This window comes from Homo sapiens, chromosome 14 (assembly GCF_000001405.40).
Source record: "Homo sapiens chromosome 14, GRCh38.p14 Primary Assembly".
In the NCBI taxonomy this organism is placed as follows: Eukaryota; Metazoa; Chordata; class Mammalia; order Primates; family Hominidae; genus Homo; species Homo sapiens.
In genome coordinates, this window is record NC_000014.9 from 102834875 (window position 1) to 102858585 (window position 23711).

General features: G+C 42.4%; 1 protein-coding gene across 18 annotated transcripts in view, besides 1 other annotated feature; it reads left to right on the forward strand.

Annotated features, from left to right (window-relative positions):
* TRAF3 (TNF receptor associated factor 3) overlaps positions 1–23711 on the forward strand; it is a 134052-nt gene that overhangs the window by 57426 nt on the left and 52915 nt on the right. The gene's annotated exons all lie outside the window — the stretch shown is intronic.
* Positions 5899–6439: an enhancer, noted in NCBI's record as "NANOG hESC enhancer chr14:103307110-103307650 (GRCh37/hg19 assembly coordinates)". NCBI's record gives its function as "activates a minimal SCP1, AML or CMV promoter by ChIP-STARR-seq in primed H9 embryonic stem cells {active_cell/tissue: H9 hESC(primed)}" and the evidence as "EXISTENCE:reporter gene assay evidence [ECO:0000049][PMID:30033119]".

Consider the following 23711-nt stretch of genomic DNA (forward strand, 5'->3'; position numbering starts at 1 on the left):
CAACAAAAGCAAAAATTGACAAATGGGATCTAATTAAACTTAAGAGCTTCTATACAGCAAAAGAAATTATCGACAGAGTAAACATACATCTTACAGCATGGGAGAAAATATTTGTAAATTATGCATCTGACAAAGGTCTAATATCCAGCATCTATAAGGAACTTAAGAAACTTAAGAACTACAAGAAAAAAAACAACCCCATTAAAAAGTGGGCAAAGGGCATGCACAGTTAGTTTTCCAAAGAAGATGCACATGCAGCCAACAGGCATATGAAAAACAGCCCAAATCACTGACCATTAGAGAAATGCAAATCAAAACCACAGTGAGATAGCATCTCACACCAGTCAGAATAACTATTATTAAAAAGTCAAAAATAAGATGCTTATTTTGAGGGTATGGAGAAAAGGGAATCCTAATACACTGTTGGTGGAGTGTAAACTAGTTCAACCATTGTGGAAAGCAATATGGTGATTCCTCAGCTAAAAATAGAACTACCATTTGACCCAGCAATCCCATTACTGGTTATATATACTCAAAGGAATATAAATTGTTCTACCATAAAGATATGTACACATGTGTGTTCACTGCAGCACTATTCACAATAGCAAAGACATGGAATCCACTGAAATGCCTGTCAGTGGCAGATTGGATAAAGAAAATTTGGTACATTTATATCATGGGGTACGATGTAACTGTAAGAAAGAATGAGATCCTCCTGTCTTTTGCAAGAACGTGGTTGGGAGCTGGAGGCCATTATCCTCAGCAAACGAATGCAGGAACATAAAACCAAGTACCGAATGTTCTCACTTATAAGTGGGAGCTAAGTGATGAGAACACATGGACACAAAGAAGGGAACAACCGACAGTAGGGCCTACTTGAGGGTGGAAGGTGGGAAGAGGGAGAGGATCAGAAAAAATAACCATTGGGTTCTAGGCTTCGTACCTGGGTTACAAAGTAATCTGTACATCAAACCCTGGTGACAGGAGTTTACCTGTATAACAAACCTGCACATGTACTTCTGAACCTAAAATAAAAGTAAAAAAAAATAATTTGGGCACGATGACTCATGCCTGGAATACTAGCATGTTGGCGGGAGGATCGCTTGAGGCCAGGAGTTTGAGGTTACACTGAGCTGTGATTGTGCCACTGCACTCCATCGTGGGTGACAGAACAAGACCCTGTCTCTAAAATATTTATCTACATGATATATACATTTGGTGGGTGCTTTGGTCCCAACTGTCTGTGACCATCTGGGGCAGAGCCAGTGCCGTGTGCAAGGTGTACTGCCTGCACACAGCACAGGAGGCTGGGGCTGGCCAGGGCCTGTGCACCTGCTCCTCTGTGCCTGGCTTGTGGATGCCCCTCACTCGCTGAGTCTTTTCTGAAGTCATTTAGCAGCACTGCCACTGCTCTAACCTACATTTAAAGATTTATTTTCATAATTTTCTGGCAGAAAATTTTATTAATGTAGCCATTTTATTTGTATAATGATTGTTGAGAATAGAATATTTTATGTTCAAGATATTGATTAATTTTTGGAGAAACTAAGAAATTTGATGTTGCATAACAAATCTCTATTTAAATTCACGGTGTAAACTGCAGTGAATCATTAGTGTATTAGGTAAAAGCCAACATTGCAGAATATAGTTTATTTGAAAGGCCGCTTAGATGAAAATTCTAGGGTGATCTGGAAATGTTTTACACTTTTGTATATGTGATCATTGGATGCTACTTAGGAGAGTTTGTACTAGTGTGTCTAGCAGTTGTAGCAAGGTGAGGTGGGTGGCCACATTTGATTATGAAGTAAATTTATTCTAGAGAGTTTATATAGCATGAAGAATATTACAATCAAAGAAGTGTTACACTACATATCTTAAACTTTTAACATGACTCTTATCTAGCTATAAAAATATGTCTGACATTTTGTGTTTTAGGAATGAAGTAAGTATGCAGTGGTAATGAATGTTTGATCATGATTTCAGGTGAGTAAGACGTCAGGGAAACCTATCACAGTTCCATAAGCAAAAATGAAAAAAACTCACTGAGGTATATTGCTACAAAATGGCTTCTTTCCCCCAAGAATAGCTGTAACTGTGACAGAGTAGCGCAGCACAGTCCTTCCATTCTCCCCTTGCTCTTTCCTCCTCCTCATCCAGATGCATTTGGATGATACTGTTCAAAAGTAAGATAAATAATTGTACTCAATTTTCATATTAGAGTAGCTAGAAATTAAGCAAGTAATTTGTGTGTGTGTGTGTGTGTGTGTGTTTTTTTTGGGGGGGGGTGAAGGTCTTGCTCTGTTGCCCAGGCTGGACTGCAGTGGTATAATGACAGCTCGCTATAGCCTCAACCTCCTGGACTTAAGCCATCCTCCCGCCTCAGCCTCCCGAGTAGCTGGGACCACAGGTGCATGCCACCACACCTGGCTAATGTTCACATTTTTTATAGACATGGGGTCTCACTATGTTGCCCAGGCTGGTCTTGAACTCCTGGCCTCAAGTGATCCTTCCACCTTGACCTTCCAAAGTCAAAGTGCTGGGATTACAGGTGTGAGCCACCGTGCCTGGCCTCCAAACAATAATTTAAATGATGTGATAAATTTTATTTTAGCCTAGCCGAGATCTTAAAATCTATTTTGAAGTCAGGCACTAGCCTTATTTGGTTCAGCTAAAGGTGCTCCCTGGTGCATCAGGTTGTGAATGTCATATATGAGTCCTAAGGGAGTAAACAAACTCTGGCTGTGTCAGTGCTGAAATTCAAAACAGTAAAAAAAAAAAAGATACTTGGTTTTAAAATGGGGTGGATGCATCTATTGGGCTTTATTGATATTTTGGAAATTTTGAGATATGTATTTTGCCTCTTGCTAAGGAATTAGATAATCGTGCAGGGTTTGAATTGACAGTTGTCAAAGTCAGCAAAAATACTATGGTCAAATTGCTGGGTCTTTGAGACCTAGGTTTTAGTCCTGTTAGCTCTGACTTTGGGCAAGTTGTTTGATGTAATTGTTTTAGTTCCTCAACAATCCAGACCCTGGCCAGCAGAGTTGGAGCATTGAATGATCTTTCTAAGATAATTTGAGCGTACAAATGGCAAATCTGATTTAACAGCATAACTGTTGATTCTTACGGCACAAGTCAGTGAGCCTGTCTTTGTTGAGGTAGTCGCGGTGTGATAACAGACATAGTAGTTAAGAACACTGACTCGAGGTAGACCGCTGTGCCGCTTAGTAACGTATCGTGTTGTGAAGCTGCTGAATCTTCGTACTCTAGTTTCCTCATCTCTATAACAGGCAAATTTGTAATTGTGACAAATAATAACTACAAGAAGTAAATTAATAACTAAGACCAAATGCATACTGTGTGGCCAGCACCATTGTAAGTGCTGAGGATACAAACCTGAACAAGACACATTGCTGTCTTCAGAAAGCTCACAGTCAGATGGGAGAGAGAGAAGGAAGCAAGGCAAGTACAGGCTTGTAAGTGTTGTGATGGGTGTCCTTACAGGACCAGGATTTCAGGAGGTAAGGTCAGTTTCCCTGGGAAGGGAGAGTTAGAGAAAAGATGCTCGCAGTTTAATTCAACAAACAAGTGGTACCTGCTGGGTGTGCCTGCCGTCCTGCTAGGCATTGAGACTACAGGATAAATTTAGCATGATCCCTGCTCTAAAGGAGCTTAAAGTTTAGTGGAAAACCATGAGTCTAGTGATAAATAGTAGTTGTCAAGATACTTGAATGGAGTCTTGCAGATGAAGTGTTTGACAGGCAGTGGAAGAACAAAAACACAGAAGGAGACAGTCGTTGCGGCTGGAGCAGAGTTTGCAAGTCCACTCCTGGTGAGGGAGGGGATGCTGAGCCAGCAGGGCAGGGTCTACTCACACCCAGAGGCTGGCTCGGAAGCAGCAGATGTAAAGGGAAGTGTGTATTGGAGGGGGTATGTTGTGAATTTGATGACGTCTGATTGTTACATTGAATTCCATGAGTTCTAGACAATTTCTTCATGATAATTACCCCCTTAAATTTCATAATCTTCATTCCCCCACTAAATTTAATACCATAACATTTTTAATTTAAAAAACACCTTTTTTGTCGGTACTTTTGAAAACATTTTCCTGCACCTGTGCCTTCTATGAAATGAACGCTGTAGAGAATCTGTGGAAATCGGCTCATGGTAGAAGCTTTCCCTGTCATATGGATGAGTCCTTTTGCTTGCCCAGTGCCCTCCTGGCATATTGATGAGGTAGGATTGGGAGTTCGGAACGCCTACAAAATGAGCAGGCTAATTTCGAACGGATGCTAATCCTGCAAAACCAAGAGAGATGCTTATTGGTTGATTTGCCTTTTTTTTTTTTTTTTTTTTTTTTTTTTGAAACAGTCTCACTCTGTCACCCAGGCTGTAGTGCAGTGGCGCGATCTTCGCTCACTGCAACCTCTGCCTCCTGGGCTCAAGCGATTCTCCTGCCTCAGCCTTCTGAGTAGCTGGGACTACAGGTGCACGCTACCACTTCTGGCTGATTTTTTGTATTTTTAGTAGAGACGGGGTTTCACCTTGTGGGCCTGACTGGTCTCAAACTCCTCACCTCAAGTGATCCGCCCATCTTGGCCTCCCAAAGTGCTGGGATTACAGGCGTGAGCCACTGTGCCCAGCCATTATTTGCTTTTAGTTGAATTTGTGTGTTTGGAGACTGAGCACTTACTTTCAACAGTGAAGAAATTGACTTGGCAGCAGTTGCTGCAGGTGGCTGTTTTCGGTCTACCTCATACTGTCAGTGTGTCGCCCAGATACTATATAATTACTCAGTTATTTTGCAGTCACAACATCTTTGTGTGTTTGTATTTATTTAGTAATTAGAAGAAAGTTTTTATGTTCTCATAGTATCTTCCTGTCTACACAGTGCATTTGTTTACTAATTTATATCCATTTGATACACATCTAATGATTGCCTCTGATGGGTATATGTGGGAACATGTACATTCCCTACTGTTAGCTGCAAATAGTGAGAAGTAGTTAGAGCATAATGTTTCACATCGAAGTAATCTCTTTTTCAAAGACATCTCTGAGAATGAAAACATTAAGTTTGGCAGTTCCGACAAACTCTTATAGTGATAAGGTATTAGTCTAATTCTACTTAGTAAGAAAGTTATTCCCGGAGACTTCCATTTCCACTATGATGGAATTAGAGGTGATTTACGCCCCCCAACCCAGGACTAGGGTAAGGCAAGTGAGGCACTTGCCTCAGTGCAGAATTTAAAGGGACACCCAAAATCTCAGTAATCGAGATTATTAATATTTTAATGCAGTGCTTTAAAAAAATCAAATTTGATGCAAAAAAAATCCATGATGAAAAACAAAATTATTTTTTACTTTTTAAGACAGGGTCTTGCTCTATTGCCCAGGCTGGAGTGCAGTGGAGCAATCATAGCTCACTACAGCTATGGTAATACAGATGGGTGGGCTCAAGTGATCCTCCAGCCTCAGCCTCCTAAGTAGCTGAGACTACAGGCACATGCCACCACGTCTGGATAATTTTTTATTTTTTTTTGTAGAGTGGTGTCTCACTGTGTTGCCCATACTGATCTCAAACTCTGAGCTCAAGCAGTCCTCCCGTCTTAGCCTCCCAAAGTGCTGAGATTATTGGAGTGAGCCACCACGCCTGGCCCAAAACCCAAATTTGAAAGACAGGATCAGTATTAATGATTTTTCTTTTTGTCTCAAGCTCCAGCATGGCTTGGCAAGACACCATTATCGATATTATATATAAAACTTTGGTATTTTGTACCTCGTGGATTTTTTCATTAATTTTGATTTTATCTCTATTACTGAGTTTTTTTGACACTCAATTAAGATTTGTGCCTAAGGCAAGTACCTCACTTGGCTTGCCCTAGTCCCAAATTGACTTCTATCTTAAACAACTTGAAAACCAGACAAAATATATGAAGTAATAGTTTTCATACATTTGACAGAAGGCTGGTTAGGACCATGTTCCTTGAAATAAGGGGAACAAACAAAACAAGCCCTGCAGTATTCCAGCTTATACCCCACAGCATGAGACTGCACTTTTTTCTATAAAGGGCTGTATAGTAACCATTGTAGGTTTTGGGGGCCGGATGCTGTTAATGTCACAACTACTCTGCTATGCTCTGTGCCTGCTTTCATCCTAAGTATGTAAGTGAATGGACGTGGACGCATTACAATAAAACCTTTCTGACACAAACAGCCTTAGTTTGTCTCGAGAGGCAGTTTCCATGTTTCAGGGCAGGAAGAGAGAAGTCAAACAGAACCCACTGGCTTCACTAAAGTGATGATACAGGAGAAATTGGGGAGGACAAGACAGCTAGAATTTGTGGAGGAAAACATAGGAGAGGAGGGAGCAGGTTAGAGAGAGAGCTCTAGAGATCTGCAGAAGGGCCCCCTTGAGGCGTTGGCTGCATCCTGGTCTGCACGTGGCCAAGAGGAAGCACCTCAAGGCTGGGAGGAGAACCACCAAAAAGGAGAAGGCCAAGCACTTCTTGGACATCAGTTGCACAGGGCTGGGAATAGTTTGTGTTCCCACCACCCAGGGTGGTCTCAGGTAGATCCTTTGAAGGGTTGCCTTTTCATCTTTGTTAGCGTGGGTTCAGAGCAGCTTTTTCATCTATGGTGTCAGGACGATTCCTCAGAAGGGCTGCCTTAGCAGTGGGGCTGAGTTATCCATAGACCAATGGGCTGCTCCCGACTTGCCCTAACTGATTACAGATAGCTTGATTACATTATCAGAACCAAAGCCCCGACTATATTTAAAAAGGATGTAATAAAACTAGCACCCAAAAATGTAAAAAGAAATTGTGTCTAGCATCTAATAAATAATTACCAGGTATGCAGAGAAGCAAGGAAATGTGATATTAACCAGGAAGAAAATCAAGAGAAACAGAACCCAGAAAGACAAGGGATGATGCAATTAGCACACAAACATTAAAATAACTTATAAATATGTTGCACACTCAACATAAAACGTAGAGAAAAACATAAGCATACTGAGTGAAATGAAAGACTCAAAAAAGATTGAAATAAAACTTCCAGAGATGAAAATAGAATATATACAATATATAAAATGCCGGGCGCAGTGGCTCACACCTATAATCCCAATTCTTTGGGAGGCTGAGGTGGGCAGATCATTTGAGGTCTGGAGTTGAAGAGTAGCCTGGCCAACATGGCGAAACCTCGTCTCTACTGAAAATACAAAAATTAGCCGGGCGTGGTGCAGGCGCCTGTAATCCCAGCTACTCGGGAGACTGAGGCAGGAGGATCACTTGAACCCGGGAGGTGGAGGTTGCAGTGAGCCGAGATCACACCACTGCACTCCAGCCTGGCGACAGAGCAAGACTCTGTCTCAAAAATAAATAAATAGATAAAAATAATATATATTTTATTTATATAATAAAATATATAATAAAATAAATTTATATATAGTAAAATAATATATACACATGTATATGTATATATAATGCAGTAGAGGGATCACAACAGGTTATTACGACAGAAGAAAAGAGTTCATGAGCCTGAAGACGTAGCAGTAGAAGCTTTCCAAAGCACAGCACAGAGAATCCAGACTGCGCGAGATCACAGAGCATCAGCAGCCTGTGGGACAAAGTCAGCTGACTTAAGATATGTATAACCTAGTTCCAGAAGGAGAAGAGGAGGGAATGGAAAAAATATTTGGAGAAATAATGGCTGGAAATTTTCCAAATTTGATGAAAAATGCAAACTATGAAGCTCAAAAACTCCAAACAGAGCAAATATAAAGAAATCCAAGGTACCTCATAATCAGATTGCCAGAAAACCAGTGATCAAGATCAAAAGCTTTCAAAGCAGCCAGAAGAAAAGACACATTACAGAGGAATACAGTTGCTAATAACAGCGATTCCTGGTCACATCTTGTGTGAACCAGAAGACAACAGAGCAACATATTCAAAGTACTGAAAGAAAAAAACCTGTTAGAGTTCTGTATCTGGCAAAAATGTCTTTCAAAAATGAAGGATAAATTTTTATTTATTTCAGAAGTAAAGAAATTTTTAGGCCAGGCATGGTAGCTCACACCTGTAATCCCAGCACTTTGGGAGGCCGAGGTGGGCGAATCACCTGAGGTCGGGAGTTTGAGACTAGCCTGGCCAACATGGTGAAACCTCGTCTCTACTAAAAAAAATTAGCTGGGTGTGGTGGCAGGTGCCTGTAATCCCAGCTACTCAGGAGGCCGAGACAGGAGAATTGCTTGAACCCGGGAGGCAGAGGTTGCAGTGAGCCGAGATCGTGCCACTGCACTCTAGCCTGGGCGACAGAGGGAGACTCCATCTCAAAAAAAAAAACCCAAAAACAAAAATAAATTTTTAGGCCAATAGACATCAGAATTTATTGCCAGCAGAATGGCACTAAAGGAGTATTAAAGGAAATTCAGATAGAAAGAAAATAATATTTGATGGGAAAAATTTTTATTTATATATATTTTGGAGACAGGATCTCACTCTAGTGTCCAGGCTGGAGTGCAGTGGGTGTGATCTCGGCTCACTGCAATCTCTGTCTCCCGGGCTCAAGCAGTCCTCCTGCCTCAGCCTCCCTAGTAGCTGGGACTATAAGCGTGTGCCACCATACCCAGCTAATTTTTGTATTTTTTGTAGAAACGGAGTCTCACTGTGTTCTCCAGGCTGGTCTCGAACTCCTGATTTCAAGCAATCCACCCATCTCAGCCTCCCAAAGTGCTGGGATTACAGGCGTGAGACACTGCACTCAGGCTTAAATAGTCAGTTTCCATCTGGGGCCAGGCATGGTGTCTCACACCTGTAATCGCAGCACTTTGGGCAGGAGGAGAGGGCAGATTGCTTGAGCTTGGGAGTTTGAGGCTACAGTGAGCTATGATCACACCACTGTACTCCAGCCTGGGTGACAGAGTGAGACCCTGTGTTTCTAAAAGGAAAAAAAAAAGTGGTAAAATTGACAAAGCTCCAGTGAAACTGATAAGGAAGAAAAAACAGATATAAATAATGAAATGAAATGAAAAAGGTGAAAACACTATGGATTCAGTAGACTGTTAAGATATCATAAAAGGATATTAGAATTAGCATCACGCTATATACATTTGAAAATTTAGATAAAATAGACAAATTTCTTTCAAAATGTAACTTAACTAAAAGTAACTGAAGAAATAGAAAACCTTAACCAGTCCTATGACTATTAAAAATGTTTAGATTTAAACAAATGTATGATTGAGGGAATGCTGGGAATGTGTGTAAACACATACATATGTTGTCATGTGTTACCTTAATTGACCTATACAGTTCTTGAGTACAAGATTAAAACCTGTTTCTGAGTATGTGATTGTATCAATGAGGGCTCTTTCTGATGTAAATTTTGAGAAATTCAACCTTAGTTGTTTTAAGTAAGTAAAAAGAAGGTTTATTGATCATCTGATTGAAAAACCTAAGGCAGGGCTAGCTATAGATGGTTCACTTGGGCCAGTTTCTTCCCCAGCATCCTCCTTCATGTGTTCAGGTTCTTTGGGAAAGAGGGAGAATCTCTATAAGTCCCATAGTGGGAAGAGGAGACCCATTAATCCTGACCTGGGTTGTGTGTTCAGAGATGAGCCAACTCTGGGCAGGAAAATAAGATGCTCTGAATGACCAGGTGCAAATCACAGGCTTTACCTGGGCCCAGGTGTTGGAGTCAGCGCCCCTGGAAGCTGTGGACTGAGCTGGGAATTTATACCTGACAAGGATCAGGGTGCAGGAACCATGGGGAAGGTGAACAAATATTTGGCTACAAAATTAAATCTCCATTGCAGTAATTGCCAGATGTAAAATTTCATGAATTCTTTATTCAAAATTATGATGAAATTCTATAATAAAGAATTCTTAGTTGGCCAGGTGTGGTGGCTCATGCCTGTAATCCCAGCACTTTGGGAGGCTGAGGCGGGAGGGTTGCTTGAGGCCAGGAGTTTGAGACCAGCCTGGGCAACATAGTGAGACTCCCACCTCTAAAAAAAAAAAAAAATGTTGTTTTTGTTTTGTTTTTTTTGAGACGGAGTCTCGCACTGTTGCCCAGACTGGAGTGCAGTGGTGCAATTTTGGCTCACTGCAAGCCCTGCCTCCTGGGTTCACACCATTCTCCTGCCTCAGCCTCCTGAGTAGCTGGGACTACAGGTGGCTGCCAGCACGCCGGCTAATTTTTTGTATTTTTAGTAGAGACAGGGTTTCACTGTGTTAACTAGGATGGACTTAATCTCCTGACCTCGTGATCCACCCACCTCGGCCTCCCAAAGTGCTGGAATTACAGGCGTGAGCCACCATGCCCGGCCCTAAAAATTTTTTGTTTTTTTTTTTGAGATGGAGTCTCACTTTGTTGCCCAGGCTGGAGTACAGTGGTGCAATCTTGGCTCACTGCAAGCTCTGCCTCCCGGGTTCAAGTGGTTCTCCTGCCTCAGCCTCCCGGTTAGTTGGGATTACAGGCGCACGCCACTAGCTCTGGCTAATTTTTTTATTTTTAGTAGAGATGGGGTTTCACCATGTTGGTCAGGCTGGTCTCGAACTCCTGACCTCAGGTGATCTGCCCACCTCAGTCTTCCAAAGTGCTGAGATTACAGGCATGAGCACCGTGCCCAGCCTAAAAATAAAAAAAAAATTTTTTTTTTTTTTCAAGACGGAGTCTCCCTCTGTCACCCAGGCTGGAGTGCAGTGGCGCCATCTCGGCTCACTGCAAGCTCTGCCTCGCAGGTTCATGCCATTCTCCTGCCTCAGCCTCCCGAGTAGCTGGGACTACAGGCACCTGCCACCATGCGTGGCTAATTTTTTTGTATTTTTAGTAGAGACAGGGTTTCACCGTGTTAGCCAGGATGGTCTTGATCTCCTGACCTCGTGATCTGCCCGCCTCGGCCTCCCAAAGTGCTGGGATTACAGGTGTGAGCCACTGCGCCCAGCCAAAAAAAGTTTTGAATTTGCTGGGTGTGGTGGCACATGCTTGTAATCCCAGCTACTGGGGAGGCTGAGGTGGGAGGATCTCTTGAGCCCAGGAGTTTCAAGGCTGTAGTAAGTCATGATCATGCCACTGCACTCTAGCCTGGGTGACAGAGGTCGACCGTGTCTCAAAAAAAAAAAAAAAAAAAAAAAAAAAAATACTATTATACCGCTGTTCAGTTAGCAGGAATTAAAAAGTTTGGCAATTGTTGTTGAAAAAGTTAAGCAACAGAAACTCTCTCATACCCTTCTGATGGGAGTGCACATTACAGCTGCTTTGGGAAATAGTTTGGCTTTAGAGTATAAGCTAGCAATCATACTTCTAGGTATGTACACCAGAGAAACACATGCCTAAAGTGATTGAGATAGCTGTACCAGAAAAATCTTAAGTCGTGTTTATATTTGCTCCAAAGCAGAGACCACCCTCGGGGATGAGAATGGATAACTAAATTATGGTATATTTACTGAGTAGAATATTACACAGCAATGAAAATAAACTACAGACACAGCAACAACAAAAAAGGCAAAGAAAAAAGCAAGACAAGAATATATGTAGTATGATTTTGTTATTTTCATCTGCTTCTGGTTTTTATATAAGTTATGTTTGGTAGGGCTGCACACCTAGGTGATAAATCTCTAAAGAAAAGTTTGGAAATGATAAACCATAAAAGTTAAAGCACAGTAGCTCATGCCTGTAATCCCAGCACTTTGGGAGGCTGAGATGGGAGGATCACTTGAGCCCAGGAGTTCCAGACCAGTCTAGGCAACACAGGGAGATCCAGCTTCTTAAAAAAAAAAAAAAAAAAAAAAAAAAAATTTTCCGGACACGGTGGCATCCTCCTGTGGTCCCAGCTACTTGGGAGGCTAAGATGGGAGAATTGCCTGAGTTTGGGAGGTCGAGGCTGCCGTGAGTTGTGGTTGCACCACTGCACTCCAGCCTGGGTGACAGAGCAAGATGCTGCGTCAACAAATCAAACAAAATCATTTTGTTAAAGCTAGTACTTACTTACGTATGTGGTGGAAGGGTTTTGGGGTCAGATAGAGGCACCCAGCCTTTCTGGAGTTCTGGCAATGCTCCATCCCTTGGTGGTAGTTGGACTGGTATTTATGTAATAACTTCATGAAACGGTATACATATGTTTTCTATGCTTTTCTATAAGTAAGTAATACCTCATAGTAAAAGCAGTTTTAAAATAATCAGATTTTATAGTGCATGTTCCATTAAAAAAATGTGGAAAATCCCCAAAGCACATGCATATACAGTAGTTAATCATGTTTTATCTTAAATTTATTCATATTATAGAAATTTACCTTTTGAAATTTCATTTTTATTTATTTGAGATGGAGTCTCGCTCTGTCGCCCAGACTGGAGTGCAGTGGTGTGCATGATCTCAGCTCACTGCAGCCTCCGCCTCCTGGGTTCAAACTATTCTCCTGCCTTAGCCTCCCAAGTAGCTGGGATTACAGGTGTGTGCCACCACGCCCAGCTAATTCTTGTATTTTTGGTAGAGATGGCGTTTTACCATATTGGCCCGGCTGGTCTCGAACTCCTGACCTCAGGCAATCCACCCTCCTCGACCTCCCAAAGTGCTGGGATTACAACATGAGCCACTGCGCCTGGCCTTGAAATTTCATTTTTAAAAGCTCTAAAAATTTTCCAGGTGAGAATTGACCAACTATTATTATTTTCTGGGTAAGGGACTCCACTACAGTAATTAAAGAAGGATAAGGTTGGCGTTGCTTTGCTCCTTTTTTTATTGAAGTCCTTCCTTCCTGATCAAGCTTCCATATATCTCCTTAAAACATATGACACACAGGTATGCCACTAAAAAACTTAATTTGTGTAGATTTCTTTCTTCAGCTGTTACTTTTTCATCTTGCATAAAAATCAAGTAATTAAATTTTAAAACATCCTGAACATATTCATTTTTGGCTTTAGCAATTTCATTCTTCAGCAGATGTATTTGACTTTCTATATACATGGCACTTTGGTTTGGTTTGTGTCTGACCTTATTTTTATTTTTCATTTTTTTTCAAACCAGTATTAAACTGAAAATAATAGACGTCATACCTCATGGCCCAGGAATGAGTGAATAAGTTGGAAAACCAAGAGTAGTGGCCTGCATCTCTTTGTCCAAGGCCTACTTTCCAAAATCTCTCGGCCCTACCCTTCCCTAGAAGGTTCCCCACTGCAAGGAAGGCACAGGCAGCCTGGGGGTGTGACCTGCCTCATGGAGTATTGCATTTTTTGATACAAGAACTATTTGCTCCTTAACATCTTTCTCTAGGAGTTTGAAAGAAAAGAAATTACTCTGTGTTTCAGTCTCTAACTTGTGATTGAGTGGCTGAGGTGGGAGGATCTCTTGAGCCCAAGAGTTCGATACCAGCCTGGGCAACACAGTGAAACTCTGTCTAAAAAAATAAAATAATTAACTGGGGGTGGTGGTGTGTGCCTGTAGTCCCAGCTACATGGGAGGCTGAGGCAGGCGGATCACTTGAGCCCAGGAGTTCCAGGCTGCAGTGAGCTAGGATCATGCCACTGCTGCCCAGGCTGGCCATAGACCAAGACCCTGTCCCTTTAAAACATAATAATAATCTTTCATATGTTAGAATGTTAAAAATAAGTATAAGAAGTTTGAAATGTTTGCATCCAAAGTGAGATTTAATACATAGCTATTTTTGATAAATTGAAAAGTGTCAAGAAAACTGCTGTTTAAATTTCATTTATAATCATGATCTCATAATAGTACCATTCAATTTTCTCCAATAGTCTCTGGTATTTTTAGTTTGTTTGAAGCAGCGTCCAAATAATTGCAGTTAACTGATAGGTCTGTTAAGTCTCTTAATCAATAGAATACTTTTCCCCATCCCTTTTTTCCTTGCATTTTATTTGTTGGAAAATCCAGGCTGATTGTTCAGTAGTCAGAAGTTCCCTCATTCTGGCCTTTGCTGTTTCCACTGGACATGTTCTTCTGCCTGTGGGTGGATATAGAGGCTCGATCGCTTTCTGGCTCAGCCTTTCAGCACAGGTACTTCAGAGGTGCGTGATGCCCTCACCAGGAGGCACACATCTGCACTGATGTGAGATCCAGTGTTGTTGTTGTTGTTTTTTCCTTTTGTCTTTTTTATTTAAAAATCATGGGGTCTTGCTATGTTGCCCAGGCTGGTTTTGAACTCCTGGCCTCAAGCAGTCCTCCCACCTCCGCCTCCCAAAGTATGCTGCAAGCTTAAGCCATGGCGCCTGGCAGATCTAGTGTTTTTTGAAATCTCATGTTTTATTCTAACAATTGATCGAAACATTATAATCTGCTTCTCAATATGGCCATGTTTTATGCTTTTCACGTCTTCAAATACAGTTGACACTCCAGGAAGATGAACCTTATCACATTTGCAACTTCTGCCCCTTATACAGCCCCGGGGCTCCAGCCCCATGTGGCAGGCGTGACCTAGGGGAAGCCTCCATCTGGAGAAGTGCTGCCTGCACTTGGTTGCATATCGAGTGGACTGAGCCCTTGGCTCCTCTCGCTGCTTCCTGTCCAGATGGCAGGACTCTGGTCGTGGGCCAAAAGAGGCACAGTGTCTTTGCATATAATAAGGATTGAATGAATACTTTTTAAAAATCCTAACTCTTATGAACCAAGGGATACTGACAATGCTGGGCCCCAAATAACTATTGTTTTCTCAAAGGCTTTAAGACCATGTGTTATACTGTGATTTAATCAGGTTCTTTCCTAGGAGTCTGCCTGAGTCACTTGGTCTGTGTGTCTCTCCCTCCCTGTCCTAAGGGGGCTTTTCATGTGTGACTGTGTTCTGCCTGCCTGTCTGGTAAGAATCCAGCCTCCTGTTACTTGCCCAGGATGCTGACTGTGGGCCCTCTCCCGCAGTGGAACATTTGGCATCAGGTACCAGGAACAGAGTCAGTATGCTGAAATGTTTGCATGAATGTGGATTTTCAGAAAGCTTTCTTATCAGCAGGGCACACCTGTCTGTTCGTGATCTTTGCCCTTCTCCCTTTATTGGCATCACTTGGACGATACCTTTAATTGCCCTGCTGGGCTTGATGTTGAGCTGCTTTTCTCCATGTGTGTCGTGTTTTGTGCTTTCTTGCGGCAGGAGCCTTTTGCTTTGTTTATCTGATGCTTCCCTTTTTTGGTTTTCCCCGGGCTTTCCAGCTCTTGGAGCACCCTTTTGTCAGCAGATGTACTTTTGTTTCCAGTTTTTAAATTCTAATTACAGTGTAACTCAACTAAAATCATGGAACTGGGGAACATAAAACAAATCATTAGGGTAATGGAGGCATAGAAGAAAGTGAAAGGAATCCAGTCCACCTCTTTGCTGTACTAGGTATGGATATGCCTCAGCTGTGAGTGAGGGCCTTCCTGAGTAGCTGACTACAAACTAAACTTTTATGAAAGAATTTTCTTAAATAATTAGAGATGCCTTTCATTTAGCTAAAAACAAGACCTCAAAATACAGTAAATTCATGTCTAAGACTGTAGCAAACAGTAAGTAAAGTAATAGAGTAAAAATTCTGCTTAAAGAAGACTGCAGAATAAGAATTGCAGGCCGAGCGTGCTGGCTCACACCTGTAATCCCAGCACTTTGGGAGGCCGAGATGGGTGAATCACTTGAGGTCAGGAGTTCAATACCAGCCTGGCCAACATGGTGAAACCCTGTCTCTACTAAAAATACAAATAGTTGGGCATGGTGGCACACACCTGTAATCCCAGCTACTCAGGAGGCTGAGGCAGGAGAATCGTTTGAACCTGGGAGGCGTAGGATTGAACCAAGATTGCGCCACTGCACTCCAGCCTGGGCGATAGAGTGAGACTCCGTCTAAAAAAAAAAAAAAAAAAAAAAAAGTTACAGCGCTCAGAGTGCCAGATGCTGCGCTCCTGGTAGTTTCTGGTCTTGGCCCTTCCTTAGCTCAAAGTGCACTGGCATAGGTGCCATTTTTTAGTCACACAATTCCCTTCATTGTAATTTTCTTAGCACTGTCTTTGCTTAGTGGATCTGTTGTTGCCATTCAGCAGTACATTTCTCTCTGTGTGGAAGCAAACATCTTCTCAAACCTGATGCTCAGTGAGGATAGGCAGTGGGCTATTAAATAGGCAGTGGCCTCAGATTCCCAGCATGTGTATGATTGCCGTGCTAACCAGAGGCGCATGTGTCCAGCATCTGGGCATTGGAACCTGCAAGCTGCTCCCCCAAATCAGGATGCCAAACATTAATTGGCAAGTTACTAAAAGTTGCCTCAAATACCATCTTTAATGCATTTAACTGAATTTGCATAATTTTTCTTTATCAGCACAATAATTATTATAAATATTGTAGAATTGCCATTAACTTATAATTGTCATATCTAAATTTTAGGATAAAAATAGAACTTAACTATTTTTATACCCATATATAAGCAAGTGAAGTAAAGGTATTTATGTTTAAATCAAGAAATCTAATCAAAGGTTTTTACAATCCTTCCAAATATGCAATCTCACTTATTTCTTGCCACTTCTGGTGATAGGTCTGTGTGTGGAAGACACGGGATTCCTGCCTGTCCACAGCTCAGTGTGAACGGACCAGATATGGTCACAGATTAGAATTTACCATCACAGGGCCGGGCGCAGTGGCTCAGGCCTGTAATCCCAGCACTTTGGGAGGCCGAGGTGGGCGGATCACGAGGTCAGGAGATTGAGACCATCCTGGCCAAGATGGTGAAAGCCCGTCTCTACTAAAAATACAGAAAATTAGCCAGGCCTGGTGGCGGGCACCTGTAGTCCCAGCTACTCAGGAGGCTGAGGCAGGAGAATGGTGTGAACCCTGGAGGCGGAGCTTGCAGTGAGCCGAGATGGCGCCACTGCACTCCAGCCTGGGCGACAGAGCAAGACTCTGCCTCAAAAAAAAAGAAATTATCATCACAGGCCTCGTGGGTGGTTCGTGTAAGAGGCTGAGGCAGGAGGATTGCTTGAGCCCAGGAGTTCGAGACCAGTCTGGGCCACATTGGCGAGACCTACCTGGGCAACATGGCGAGACCCTGTCTCTACAAAAAATAGAAAAGTTAGCGGGGTGTGGTGGTGCATGCCTGTAGTCCCAGCTGGTTGGGAGGCTGAGGCAGGAGGATCGCTTCAGCCTGGGAGTTCAAGGCTGCCGTGAGCCATGTTTGCACCACTGCACTCCAGCCTGGGTGACGGCAAGAAAAGAAAGAAAATAAAAGAAATAACCTCAAAAGAAAAAAAAGAAAAGAAATTACCTCAAAAGAAAATAAATTACCCTTACAGACATTTTATTTTTATTTTATTTTTTTTACAGACAAGGTCTCTCTCTTGCTCAGGCTAGACTCAACCTCCTGGGCTCAAGTGATCCTCCTGCCTCAGCCTTCTGAGCAGGCACTACAGGCACACGCTGCCATGCCCGACAACCACCACAGATAATTTAGAAAAAATTAGCCTTTTAGTTTTAGGAGCTTTCTTTTACAGTGATATTTAGTTTGGGGCCTTTGAACTTGGTCTTTGCTTTTGGAGCTGTACTTGTAGGTGTTGTTGTTCCAGCCTGGGAACGAGACATGACCGACTCCAGTGCGGCCTGCTTGCTGTCCTCACCATCAGTCAGTGTGGTCCGTGTGTGAGGCTGCAGTTGTCCTCTTGGCCACTTATTTCTCCTTAATTCTCTGCATGTAATTTAAAACATTATCCCCTGAAACTTAGTTTTTCATTGACTTCTAATATCTTTACTTCTCCTTTTAATTTTCCTATTGAGATACTTAGGATGACATGAAATTCTTTGGATCTACATATGGACAAACAGAATTGTGTCACATAAGGTTCAGTGTGCTAGCTGTTTAAAAAAAATTAAAAACAGTTTGTTTTTTTTAGAGACAGAATCTTGCCCTGTCACCCAGGCTGGAGTGCAGTGGCGTGATCGTAGTTCACTGTAACCTTGAGCTCCTGGGCTTAAGCAGTTCTCCCGCCTCAGCCTCTTGAGTAGCTAGGACTCACAGGCATGTGTCACCATGCCAGGCTAATTTTTATTTTATTTTTATATTTTATTTTTATTATTATTTTTTTGAGACAGAGTCTCACTCTGTCGCCCAGGCTGGAGTGCAGCGGCACAATCTCGGCTTACTGCAACCTCCACCTCCTGGGTTCAAACGATTCTCATATTCTCCTGCCTCAGCCTCCTGAGTAGCTGGGACTGCAGGCTCACACCACCACGTCCGGCTAATTTTTGTATTTTTAGTAGAGACAGGGTTTTGCCATGTTGGCCAGGCTGGTCTTGAACTCCTGACCTCAGACGATCCTCCTGCCTTGCCTCCTAAAGTGCTGGGATTACAGGTGTGAGCCATTGCACCTGGCCTTTATTTTTTTTTAGAGGCTGACTGAGTTTTGCTGTGTTGCCAAGGCTGATCTCAAACTCCTGGTACTTCAAGCAGTCCTCTTGCCTTGACCTCCCAAAGTGCTGGGATTACAGGTGTGAGCTACCACGTCCTGCCTGCTAGCCATTTTTTTATGTTCGTGGTGGTGGTAAGGAGTGGCTACCAGGCTGTGCGGGATTCAGGAATCTGGATGTTCCCCCCACCACCGTTTTTTACCCCACGAAAAAAATTGTAAACACTTTCTAATTGAGATAAAATTTACAAAACAAAATTCACCACTTAAACCACTTAAAGTGTACAACTCAGTGGCTTTGTGTATATTCAGAATGTTACGGCCGGGCGTGGTGGCTCATGCCTGTAATCCCAGCACTTTAGGAGGCCGAGGCGGGCAGATCACCTGAGGTCAAGAGTTCGAGACCAGCCTCGCCAACATGGTGAAACCCCCATCTCTACTAAAAATACAAAAAAATTAGCTGGGCATGGTGGCACACTCCTGTAACCTCAGGCAATTGGGAGGCTGAGGCAGCAGAATTGCTTGGGCCCGGGAGGCGGAGGTTGCAGTGAGCCGAGATTGCGGCACTGTACTCTAGCCTGGGCGACAGAGGCAAGACTCCGTCTAAAAAAAAAAAAAAAAGAATGTTATGCAACCATCACTACTATCTAATTTCAGAATATTTCATCACCCCAAAAAGAAACCCCATACCACTAAGCAGGCACTCTCCATTCTTCGCTTGCCCCAGCCTCTGGCAACCACTAATCTACTTTCTGTATCTATGAATTTGCCTATTCTGGACATTTCATGTAATAGGAATCATACAATATGTGGCCTTTTGTTTCTGACTTCTATAACTTACATAATGTTTTCAGGGTCCATCCATGTTGTAGCATATATAGTACCTCATTTTTTTTTATGCCTAAGTAAGAGTTCATTGTATGAATAGACCACATTTTGTTTATCCATTTACCAGTTGACCATTTGAGCTGTTTCTACTTTTTTTTTCGCTATTGTGAATAGTGCTGCTGTGAACGTTTGTGAACAAGTTTTTGCGTGAACAGACTGGTTCTCTTGGTATATACATAGAGATGGAATTGTTGGGTCATACGGTAATTCTGTGTTTAACTTTTGGAGGAACTGCCAGATTGTTTCCACAAGGGCTGCACCATTTTACATTCCTGTCAACAATATGTGAAGATTCCCATTTCTCCATATCCTTGCTAACACTTGTGATTTTCTGTTTTTAAAATTTTAGCCATCCAAGTGACTAAGTGGTTATAGTAGGTTTTGGTTTTGGTTTTGAGACAGAGTCTTACTTTTGTGTTGCCCAGGCTGCAGTGCAGTAGTGCAAACATGGCTCACTGCAGCCTCACCTCCTGGGCTCAAGTGATTCCCACCTCAGCCCCCCAGATAGCTGGGACTACAGGTGTGCACCACCACACCCAGCTATTTTTTGTATTTTTTTGTAGAGATGGGGTTTTTTACTGTGTTGCCCAGGCATGTCTTGAACTACTGGCTTCAAGTGATCTGCCCACCTCAGCCTTTCAAAGTGCTGGGATTATAGGTGTCAGCTGCCGCACCTGGCTGTTTTTTTTTTTTTTTTTTTAACAATGTTTTAAAATAAATTGTGGTGAGATACACATAACATTAGCCATTTAAAAGTGAATGATTCAGTGGCATTTTGTACATTCACAGTGTTCTGCACCATGATCTCTATCTGGTTCCAACACATTTTTTTCGTTCCCAAAAGGAAACCCCATACCCATAAGCAGTGAGTCCCCATTATGCCTCCTTTCAACCACTGGTAACTACCAGTCTGCTTTCTGTCTTGTGGATTTCCCTATTCTGTATGTTTCATGTAGATGAAATCGTAGTGTGTGCCCTTTGCTTCTGACTTACTCACTTAGCATGTTTTCAGGGTTCATCCATGTTGTAGCATGAATCAGAACTTGATTCCTTTTTAAGGCTGAATGGTATTCACTGTCTGGATAGATTACATTTTGTTTATTCATGTATTGATGGACATTTTGGTGGTTTCTACCTTTTTGGTTGTTGTGAAGAGTACTGCTGTGAACATGTGTATACATGTGTTTCTTTGAGTACCTTTTTTCAGTTATTTTGAGCATGTACCTAAGAGTGGAATTGCTGGGTCATATGGTAAAATGTTTTAACTTTTTGAGGAACTGCCAGCCTCTTTTCCTTAGTGGCTGAACCATTTTGCGTTTCCACAGCAGTATATGAGGGTTTCAGTTTTTCCACATCCTAACACTTGTTATTTTCCTTTTTTAAAAAAATTATAGGCCAGGCGCAGTGGCTCACACCTGTAATCCCAGCACTTTGGGAGGCCGAGGCAGGCAGATCACCTGAGCTCAGGAGTTTGAGACCACCCTGGGCAACATGGTGAAACCCCATCTCTACTAAAATACAAAAAATTAGCCAGGCGTGGTGGCACCAGCCTGTAGTCCCAGCTACTAGGGAGCCTGAGGCACGAGAATCACTTGAGCCTGAGGGATGGAGGTTGCAGTGAGCCAAGATCATGCCACCGCACTCCAGCTTGGGCTACAGAATGAGACTTTATCTAAAAAAAAAAAAAAAGGCCAGGTACGTTGGCTCATGCCTGTAATTCCAACATTTTGGGAGGCCAGGGTGGGAGGATCACTTGAGCCCAGGAGTTTGAGAACAACCTGGGCAATATAATGACACCCCGTCTCTACAGACAATAAAATAACTAGCTGGGCATGGTTGTGTATGCCTGTATTCCCAGGTATTCGGGAGGCTGAGTTGGGAGGATTGCCTGAGCCCAGGAGTTCAAGGCTGCAGCAAGTCACGTTCACACCACTGCACTCCATCCAGCCTGGGCAACAGAGTAAAACCCTGTCTCACAAAAAAAAAAAAAAAAAAAAAAAATTACAGCCATCCCAGTGGGTGTGAAGTGGGAACTCACTGTGGTTTTGATTTGTATTTTCTTTTTTAAGTGAAAGCAAGTTTATTAAGAAAGCAAAGGAATAAAGAATGGCTATTCCATAGGCAGAGCCCATTGCCACTCAGCTGCTTATACTTATTGTTACTTCTTGATTGTATGCTAAACAAGGGGTGGATTATTCATGAGTTTTATGGGAAAGGGGTGGGCAGTATCTGGAACTGAGGGTTTCTCCCCTTTGTAGACCATACAGGGCAACTTCCTGACGTTGCCATGGTATCTGGAAACTGTCATGGTGCTGGTGGAAGTGTCTTTTAGCATGCTGATGCATTATAATTAGAGTATAATGAATAGTAAGGACAACCAGAGGTCACTTTCATCGCCATCTTGGTTTTGGTCAGCTTCTTTACTGCAGCCTGTTTCATCATTAAGGTCTTTATTACCTGTATCTTGTGCCGACCTCCTGTCTCATCCTGTGACTTAGAATGCCTAACCTCCTGGGAATGTAGCCCAGTGGGTCTCAGCCTTATTTTACTCACCCCCTATTCAAGATGGAGTTTCTCTGGTTCAGACACCCCTGACATGTTTCCCCCCTCCCTTTTACAGCAGAACCCTTAATCCTAACAGTCGTAGAGGGACAAAGATCCATCTTCTGTAACTTCTTCAGGCTGAATGGGGCGATGATATTCCTGCCTAACTATGAGGGTCTCTTGTATTCAGGGTAGAGAAGAGCTCAGTCAGAAAGCATCAATATGGTGAGGGCCATTCATAGCTCTGAGTTCCAACAAAAGGTGGTATCTGGAAGATTAATAAGTGTTCAGTTTAAGAAAACATTCAGTAAACTTATCCTGCATTCCTACACAAAGAGTACAACAGCAATATATTCCACAACAGTAAAGTAGAATAACTAAAATTATCCTGAGTAAACTAAACAAGAAGGCTTTCCATGAACTGGGCAGTTGTTGAAACCAAACTGATACATCGGGTTGCTAGCCGACTCCAGTATGTGCCCAGAATTAGAATATTGATCCAGATTTTTACATTACCCATCTCTCTTGTTTCTTGTGAGCAGCAGCCAGAGATCACTGATTGGTTCACAGGAGTAAGCAGGGTTAGCCTAAGTTGCAGAAAAAAAACTTAAAAACAACTGATGAGACTAGAATCTAGTAACAGGTGTACCAAGTTCCTGAAACATAATTTATTTTCTCTCTCCGGTCTCCCATTTTTACTGAAGACAAATCATGGTACAACTGATTTGCTTTATTATACTTGGCCTGATTATTTGTATAAAGTGCAGCAAGAACAGTTATTTTTCACATAGGTTTTTAAAATTGGCTTTGATGAAACTTCATTCCATAAAAGGAAGCTTAGATAAGACTTTTTGTTAAAGCCAAGCCCAGCCATGGGTTTGTACCCTCAAATAACCTGTGAGTTGGGAAATTCCTCTCCTCTTGAGGTCCCAAGATGGCGTGGGGTTCCTGGGCCTGTCGGAAAGTGACATTCTTTACTAACCACAGGTCAGGAACCCTGCACAGGAACTGTGTAGACAAGGTATGAGGCCAGTTTTCCCAAGGAACTTTTATTGGCTCCATAAGTCAAGTTTGAGTCCTTAAAGGAAAGCACACCATTCCCATCAAAGTCCTGGTAAAACAACTAGTTTCTCTAATTGTGTCCTGTTGCAAAAGAAAACAGATTCTTATTGCACTTGTGCAAATAACTATATTGCCATAAGTTAATACTCACAAATAGTTTCCAAATTCCAGAGAAAGCAGGTAGAGAAAAACAAATATGCTCCAAATTTTGTTCACAGGAGTATACTTTACTCAATTGTCAAAAGCTGTAAGTAGCTCAAAAGTTTTCTTGGCTCTGAAAAACAAAAATGATCAGCAACGTTTTAAGCAAAAAGTCAGAAAAGATTACTTGAGTCTTTTGTTCAGTCCATGCAGTTAACTCCTGTTCTACTTGATATTCATAATCATTTCAGCTCTCCATGAGAGTCCTGAAAGAACCTCTGTTCTTCTTTTTTTTTTTTTTCTTGAGACAGTCTCACTCTGTCGCCCAGGCTGGCATGCAATGGCGTGATCTTGGCTCACTGCAACCTCTGCCTCCTAGGTTTAAGCGATTCTCCTGCCTCAGCCTCCTGAGTAGCTGGGCTTACAGGTACGCACCACCACGCCCAGCTAATTTTTGTATTTCTTAGTAGAGACGGGGTTTCACCACATTGGTCATGCTGGTCTCGAACTCCCAACCTCAGGTGATCCACCCACCTCGGCCTCCCAAAGTGCTGGGATTACAGGCGTTAGCCACTGCACCCGGCCTAAGAACCTCTATTCTAATGTCACAATCTCCAAAGTTATTAGAAACCTGCATCCAAGAGCACCTGTTGAAGTCCTATAATAGCTGACTATAAACCACCTTTTGAAGAGGATCAACACAGCAGTTGTCTGTGGT